The sequence below is a fragment of the Homo sapiens genome, chromosome 13 (assembly GCF_000001405.40).
Source record: "Homo sapiens chromosome 13, GRCh38.p14 Primary Assembly".
Classification (NCBI taxonomy): domain Eukaryota; kingdom Metazoa; phylum Chordata; class Mammalia; order Primates; family Hominidae; genus Homo; species Homo sapiens.
Genome location: NC_000013.11, coordinates 85,856,252 through 85,865,608, shown reverse-complemented (window position 1 = coordinate 85,865,608; position 9,357 = coordinate 85,856,252). Strand labels below are relative to the sequence as shown.

The 9,357-nt window shown below is 33.5% G+C and overlaps 1 annotated feature.

Annotated features, from left to right (window-relative positions):
- Positions 341-635: a silencer, noted in NCBI's record as "tiled region #1723; HepG2 Repressive non-DNase unmatched - State 13:Ctcf". NCBI's record gives its function as "represses a minimal TATA promoter and a strong SV40 promoter by Sharpr-MPRA in HepG2 cells {active_cell/tissue: HepG2}" and the evidence as "EXISTENCE:reporter gene assay evidence [ECO:0000049][PMID:27701403]".

Here is a 9,357-nt window from a genome sequence, read left to right as displayed (position 1 = left end):
AACAAAAGCCATAAAAACAAACAATGGGGAAAGGACCCCTCCCATTCACTTATGTTTTTAAGGTTCTTCCACATTGTAGCATTTGTCACTACTTCATTTCCTTTAATTTTCAAATAATATTCCATTGTAGGATAAGACATGTTTTATTTATCCATCTATAAGTTCACACACATTTGAGTTGTTTTCACTTTTTAAAATTATGAGTAACCCTACCATGAACATGTCTGTGCAAGTTTTTATGTGGATTTGTGTTTTCAACTATCTTCAGTATATAACTCAGAATGGAAGTTCTGGGTCATACAGTAACTCAATGCTTAACCTAATGAAGAAGTGCCAGCCTGTCTTTCAAAGTGACCAAAACCATTTTATATTCCCATCAGCTGCATATGAGGGTTCAGAGTTGTCCACATCCTTGAATACAAGCTCTTTCCTGCAACATAGTTCTCTCCACAAGAGGGCAGCTGGCTTCTATGAGGTCAACAGGAGAGTTTCTTCGGCTACAGCTTTCAGTCTTCTTTAAAGATACAAAATCAATGTGCAAAAATCACAAGCATTCTTATACACCATTAACAGACAAACAGAGAGACAAATCATGAGTGAACTCCCATTCACAATTGCTTCAAAGAGAATAAAATACCTAGGAATCCAACTTACAAGGGATGTGAAGGACCTCTTCAAGGAGAACTACAAACCACTGCTCAGTGAAATAAAAGAGGATACAAACGAATGGAAGAACATTCCATGCTCATGGGTAGGAAGAATCAATATCGTGAAAATGGCCATACTGCCCAAGGTAATTTATAGATTCAATGCCATCCCCATCAAGCTACCAATGACTTTCTTCACAGAATTGGAAAATCTACTTTAAAGTTCATATGGAACCAAAAAAGAGCCCGCATTGCCAAGTCAATCCTAAGCCAAAAGAACAAAGCTGAAGGCATCACGCTACCTGACTTCAAACTATACTACAAGGCTACAGTAACCAAAACAGCACAGTACTGGTACCAAAACAGAGCTATAGACCAATGGAACAGAACAGAGCCCTCAGAAATAATGCTGCATATCTACAACCATCTGATCTTTGACAAACCTGACAAAAAGAAGAAATGGGGAAAGGATTCCCTATTTAATAAATGGTGCTGGGAAAACTGGCTAGCCCTATGTAGAAAGCTGAAACTGGATCCCTTCCTTACACCTTATACAAAAATTAATTCAAGATAGATTAAAGACTTAAATGTTAGACCTGAAACCATAAACACCCTGGAAGAAAACCTAGGCAGTACCATTCAGGACATAGGCATGGGCAAGGACTTCATGTCTAAAACACCAAAAGCAATGGCAACAAAAGCCAAAATTGACAAATGGGATCTAATTAAACTAAAGAGCTCCTGCACAGCAAAAGAAACTACCATCAGAGTGAACAGGCAACCTACAGAGTGGGAGAAAATTTCTGCAATCTACTCATCTGACAAAGTGCTAATATCCAGAATCTACAAAGAACTCAAACAAATTTACAAGAAAAAAACAAACAATGCCATCAACAAGTGGGCGACGGATATGAACAGACACTTCTCAAAAGAAGACATTTATGCAGCCAACAGACACATGAAAAAATGCTCATCATCAATGGCCATCAGAGACATGGCAAATCAAAACCACAATGAGATACCATCTCACACCAGTTAGAATGGCGATCATTAAAAAGTCAGGAAATGACAGGTGCTGGAGAGGATGTGGAGAAATAGGAACACTTTTACACTATTGGTGGGACTGTAAACTAGTTCAACCATTGTGGAAGTCAGTGTGGCGATTCCTCAGGGATCTAGAACTAGAAATATCATTTGACTCAGCCATCCCATTACTGGTATATACCCAAAGGATTATAAATCATGCTGCTATAAAGACACATGCACACGTATGTTTATCGTGGCACTATTCACAATAGCAAAGACTTGGAACCAACCCAAATGTCCAACAATGATAGACTGGATTAAGAAAATGTGGCACATATACACCATGGAATACTATGCAGCCATAAAAAAGGATGAGTTCATGTCCTTTGTAGGGACATGGATGAATCTGGAAACCATCATTCTGAGCAAACTATTGCAAGGACAAAAAACCAAACACTGCATGTTCTCACTTATAGGTGGGAATTGAACAATGAGAACACATGGACACAGGAAGGGGAACATCACACCCCGGGGCCTGTTGTGGGGTGGGGGGAGGGGGGAGGGATAGCATTAGGAGATATACCTAATGTTAAATGACGAGTTAATGGGTACAGCACACCAACATGGCACATGTATACATATGTAACTAACCTGCACGTTGTGCACATGTACCCTAAAACTTAAAGTATAATAAAATAAAAAATAAAAAAAAAAGATTCATCTGGGTTTGGTCCAGCAATGTAGTCTGCTCTTTTTATTAACTAAAAGTCAGCAGATTAGAGTTTTATTTACATCTGCAATATCCCCATATCACTACCATATCATACCACATAACCTAATCAAGGATGTCATATCCTGTCATAAACACAGGTCCTGCCCTTTCTCTTGGGTAGTTGATTATCCAATGGCATGGTCCCTTTGGGAGCTGGAGTGTGGGGGTCACAGTCTTAGAATTTAATTATATCAGTAAAATAAACCCTAACTTCCACAGATGCTATACAAAACAACACACATTGCAATAATACTACACAATTTAATAGCTTAATAACTTAACACCATATGATTTAATACCCTAAAATTAAAAGATCAAAAGTCAAAAATCATTTGAATGCCCAATATACACCATGAATTGTCCTAGTAACTGAGATTTTAGCCCTTAACACTATATAAAAGATCTTATCTCTTGAATAGAGAGAATTTAAAACTAGCAAATACATTAATAAGATAAATTGCGATAACTGTTATGAAATCAATGAGCTAAGAAGAGTTATGAGATTGTTATTATAGTCAGGAATGTCAGAGGAAGGCTCTTTAGAGAAATTCAAGTTGGCAACAGAATGAGTATGATATAGGCATGTAAATATACAATGGGAGAAAATTCCAAATCAAAGTCGTCAAAATACAACTAATCTTAAAACATTCAAGGACAAAGTAGAAGCTACAAGGTCTAGAGTGTAGAGACAAAGAAGGAAAACAGCATAATGTAGTAGTAGTAGAGAAAAACTGCAAAAGCTAAATGGTCTTGAAGGCCATGAAATGCTTTCTTATTATCCTAATTACAGTAAAAAGTTATTGGGAAATGTTGTGCAGGAGAGGGTTAGTACAACATATTTTTTGAAAGATCACCTTGGCTGCTGCTTTGGAGAATGGTGTTTTTGAAGCTCGGACTTGGAAGCAAGAAGACCAAATGAAGGCTCTTATAGTTTAGGAGATTTGGACTAAGGTGGTGGCTGTTGATAGAGGATAGTGAAGATGGATTTGGAATATACTTTGGCAATAGACAAAATTGACTTTGGGATTAGATTGAATGTGGTAGGGGTTATGGAAACAACAAAGATTTGTTTTTACTCAAAAGAAAAATTAATTCTTTTCAAGAGATCAATTAATTTTGTGAAGTTCAGATTTATATTTGCAAAGCCATGTAACCAGAGGAAATACAATTTAAGAGCAATCGAAAAAATATTTTAAAATCCTTAGTAAAATGCTTTAGCCAAATAAAAATTTACTTTTCAAATTTTTAATAATTTTAAAATACAGAGAAATTTAAAAGATTAAACATAAAGCTTTTAAAAAAGGTATTTTTCTCCATAATATGATGTAAAATGGGCACAATTACATCAAGAACCATTGAAAAGAAATACCATGAAGTATAAGTCAATGCTCTCCCATTAAACATGAAAGAGTGTACTTGATTGCACCAGTTTGTATCTTTATTAGACGTATATTGAAAGGTCAGAAGATGTTACCAGACTCCCCGTAATTCACTGGATTGTACCTGCTGCCCTTTAGAGAGCAAATAATGGGATTAACGTGTTTCTAAAGTAGCCAGGTAAGCTTTCAACATGATGAGTGAATTTCTCATAAAACTTAAACTGATAAAGTAACCAGTTAAGCTGATAAAATATCTAATTCCTTTAAAGTTTTTAATCTATCTGCACTTGTTTTGTTTTTATTAAGTAATTGTGCCAGTAAATATCAGTTATTATTTGTTTAGTTTTTGCAAATTAGAAAGAAATTGTTCATTTTGACACTAGTAAATTAGAAAACCTTTTTTGTAAGTAGCTAATGGATCAAAAGAACGGTTATAAACTGAATTCTTCACTGTCATCCTTATAAACATTACAAGTAATTAATTTCCCCTTCATACTCTAAAGTTACCTTCAAGGATAATAGAATTAACAACCATGAACATATTTATAGACAGTCCTACATGATGAGAGAATAAATGGGACTAGCACAATGGGTGAGATAAAAATCTTAGTGGCCTTTCTTTCAATTTTCTATTCTATTGTTGTAGGTTGGATATATGTATCTGGTATAAAATGTATAGTTAATGTGAATAATTATTTGAAGCATAAAAATAAAATCAATATATGCGCATTTCCTAATACTAATGTTATTGAAATTATGATGAACCTGGGGAAGATGATAATAAAAATCTCCTAGAATATCACTACTTTTCTTAGTTGCTCAAAATGAAAGTAAATGTTTTATTTTGAATGATCTTTTGTTCATCTCTGTCCTTTACATTAGAAGGTAATGCATTCATTAGAAGCTTTCTCTTATTTATCTCCAAAACTACTTTCTCCTTCTCTTCACATAGGATAAGTCAATAAAGGGTGAGAATAAATCCTATTCAATGTTTTCTTCTAAGGTGCTAGTATAGTGCAGTTACATGATATGGGAAAGAATTTTGATACAATAGAAATTAGATGAAAGTGAGGAAGAACGGAAGAAACACATGGTAGGAGGGAAAAAGAAAGGAAATAAATATGAAGGTCTGTTTTCCTTTTGCCCGATGTGTCTCTTTCCACACCACTATCAATGTTTTATGCATCAGTGATGGATATAAGTCACATGGTCAAGACTTCTATCAATGGGACAAAGGGGACATACTCTGCCCGAGGAAATAGAATACAGTAGTTACCTTGTTGGGAAAGAGAACACAGCAAAGTTCCCTCGCATCTGCTGCTAGCAATATTGACAATCCCTCATGCAAGCTGAAATGATTTATTTTGGATTTACCATCTCTAAACATTTACCATACACACATACCCTTGCACCCACATACACACCCCTATACATATACACACACATGTAATATGCGTATGCATATATATATATAATTATTATGTTTTACTACTTATCCCAGAGATAGAATATGAAATAAATCAGCCAGATATTTTTTAGAAATTAGTAAGTAGATGTCATGATTTGGAAATAATTGAAATTATGTACATGTCTTCTTTCATTTTGTATTATAAAGCACATAAGACTCCAATCTGATTATTGGCAATTCTTTGTGTCATGTGTAAGGTATCTAACAACTCTGGGGTTCAACTTCCTCACCGGTGAAATGTGAATACCCTATGTATGGAGCTGTGTGCCTTAGGTCTATTCATACAAACCTCCATTTCTCAACTCCCACTATTCTTATCTTATTCCAATCTGACTTTTATGTTCATTAGTTCAACAAAACAGTAGTTACCAATGAATCCAATGATCTCCATGTTCAAAAATCCAGTGAAGAATTTTTATTTTCAGTCTTCATCTTGCCTAACATTCCACTAGACAGCTTTCTCTTTCTTAATAATATTCACCAAACTAAGCATCCCTGAGGTCTCAGTCATTGAGCTTTTATCTAATCTGAAATATCCCAGTTCCTTTCAGAGAAGTATCTTATTTATTTGACAATGAAATATTCAGGGACTTCATGATTACATCCTTGTCACATTTCTCGTCTTTTATAACTCTTTCTAGAAAATGTCATTTACAACCTCAGTTTTAATTGCCTTCTACATAACACTGACCAAAAATTGTGTTTCTCCTTGCAAATGTGCCTTCTATGCATTATAGCCTGAAGTATCAAACTTCCCATGTATTTGAATATTGTAAAGGCAACTCCAATTCTAATTCACCATTGATCCATGATTTTCCCTACTAAACTCAACTAAATATTTACATTTACCTAGATTTACCTAGAAGATCCATATTACTATTTGGGTGAATGGCATCTTTATGCTTATAGTTACAAAGGTCAGAAAAATTATCATTAAATAATGTAACTTGAAGGAGGAAATGGACTTTGTCTTATTCACTTATTCTCATTAGCAATAACTGAAGTAGCAAATAGTATAGATTTAGTATTTGCTAATTGAATACATTAATGATACAATCTTGCTTCTCACAACCCATATACAATTGATTACTATGTCATTAATTTACATCTTACATATTTTGATATATGACCACATATCTACATATTTATTGCCACTCTTGTCATCTAAAGTAACATTAACTATCAACCCAAAGCCAGCAAAAGCATCCTAACTTATTGTGTTCACTCTCATCTACTCCATCTACTCCAATATGTTTCCCAAACCACATCATGAATGGTCACTTTAAAATGCTAATGTAGCCTTGTCATTATAATTTATAGATTTAATGACTCTTCCTTTTTAATTAAGGAGAAGACTACATTCTTAAATATGACCCAGAAGTTCCTGTTTAGTTTTCTAACTCCTTCAGAGTCTTTGTATGCTCTCCCTTAACCTCTGATTTCCAGCCATACTGGCTGAATTTCAGTTCCCTGTAACAAACAATGCCTCACATTATATCTCAGGAAAGATTATTTATTCTATTGGCCTTTTCCTATCCAAATTCATGTATAAACCTATAAATCTGATTCCCGTTGTAATATAGTCATGAAAGTTTGTATTTCATCCTATAGGTAAGTTTCTCTGTTATACAGTATTCTCTCATAGCATCATATTTCTATCTTTTATAACATATATGTATTTTAGGTTATAAGGCTACATAGGCATGTATCACATTTGAGCAGTCTCTCTCCCTATTAGACTGTATCTTATGTTCGAGCAAATATTGTGCTCATTATTCTATTTCCAATGGTAGGTATGCAATCAATATTTGTTGAAAGAATAAAAATAATCATTGCGACATATCTTGTTAACTTAAATTATACTTATGAAAACATATAATTATCTCAAAACTTTAAAAAATTGTAATATATATTACTATTTTTGTTTTCCTCCATTTGTGGGGTGGGAGGGAGCACAGGCCTTGAATCAAAATTGTAAACTTTCAAATTACTGGTTAAAATATATCCTTTATAAAAAATAATAATATGGCAGCTACAAAATATATTCTTTTGGTGCAATGGAATGAATATATGCCAAATTTTTAATGTTATTAAAATACACTAGATTTAAAGAATAGAAATTCTTGGTAAGCTTACCGTAACATTCTGTATTTTACTTCTCATTCTGTTGGTCAAATTTTAAATTATTTTATCCTACTATATTTGATGTATTTCTCCCAATTGTAATTAATATTATACTAACAACAAATTTGAAGTCTCCAAATGTTCTTTTCACTGATTTCTGAAAGTTAGAAATTTTGTGGATTCAAATATTTTAAAAATATTTTCTAAATATTTCATATTGTTTTTTGCGACTCATGTTTGGGGATCATGACTGTTCACCTACCTCATTTTCTAAGATGCGTTGAATTACTCCTCAGAAGGATTCCAATTGAGCACAAAGATTTCAGAAAGTTTTTATTTCCTGCAGAGAGAGGACCCCTGTCTGCCATGCCAAGAGTCAAACGCACTTGGATATGCACAAGGAGACTCTTTAAAAATAAAGTCTCCAAATGCTGCTAGTCTTTGCTAACATGGTACTTTGGAAACGTGTAAATGGAGTCATCTGAACTTCTGTTTACAAAGATTTATCCATATAGACACTTTATTGAGTGCTCACTTCATAATATATAAGGCAACCGTTTTGCCCATAGATGAAAGAAAATGAGATTATGTATTTCTCTAGTACTACGCTCTTATATGTGATTAATACATTCATTAACTTCAAAATAGGTGATGTATGTAGATTGTACTCAGGCATTGAAGCAAATTTTCATGGTTTATAAAAATGCAATGAGACCTATTTTTCAATAGGATTCGATGTTTTAAGCTGCATTTTAGTATTAAAGTGTTTGGGGTAGTATACCAATTATTTATTTGAAAATTAAATTTTTTATATAGTAAAAGAAAAAGTTTTATAATATTTTACCAATTTATCTAGTTATATCAATTTAGCAATTTTTAAAACTAACTGTGAAGTGGAAGACATTTTATTGATAATTTCTAAATTTTGCTTTCAATTTAGGAATAGAAGAGCTGTAAATTTTGAAATTTTGTTCTATATTTTATCCTGTTACTTTTGACCAGGTTCCGAATTTTTTTTACAGAAGAGTAAAAATACTTCTAAAATGTCTGATTACTAATTTTTAACAAGAATTCATTGAGTATCTACTCTGTGTCAGGCTCTGGTCTGAGCTCCAAGCAGTTTTTAAAATATACATATGCACACAAATAAGTGAAAAATCAAAAATTCTTTCCCACAAAAGTTAATAGTGAGGGAAAACAAGAAATAAAGAAAATAATTAAATACTTTACATATTCACATGGAATATTTAGATGCTAAAAGATGAGAAAGAGAATTAGAATAATGAGTCCTGGAGTTGAGATAATAAAGTTTTCATTCAGGTAGCCTGAAAAGGCCAAATTTGAGAAAGTGGATTAAACCATGAAAGAGAAAGCAAGATGGATATCTGGAGGTAAGGCTTTCTCATGCTAGTGTATCAATGGGTGCAAAGGCCCTGAGGCAGAAGGATATCTGTGTGTTATAGAAAAAGAAAAGAATCTATTGCAGAGGAAGTGAGTTGAATGAGAGGAGGACAATTGAGGATGCAGAGAGAATAACAAACAGCCAAGTCAGGTAAGGCCTTGGCCATTTTAAAGACTTTTCCTGGCAATTGTAAATAATTTTAGAGAACCCATGGGGATCCTTGGCATTTACAGCAACGTGCTGCATACAATGTTTTGGTAAAGGACAGACTGCACATATGATGGTGGTCCCTTAAGATTAACATGAAGCTGAAAAATTCCTAGGGCCTATTGATGTCGTAGCTGTCTTAACATTGTAGCCCAATGCATTACTCACATGTCTGTGGTGATACTGGTATAAACAAACATACCACACTGCCAATCATAGAAAAGTATAGTACATACAATTCTGTATAGTACATAATGCTTGGTAATGATAATAAATGACTGTCACTAGTTTATGCACTTACTATATTATACCATTTATCATTATTTTAGATT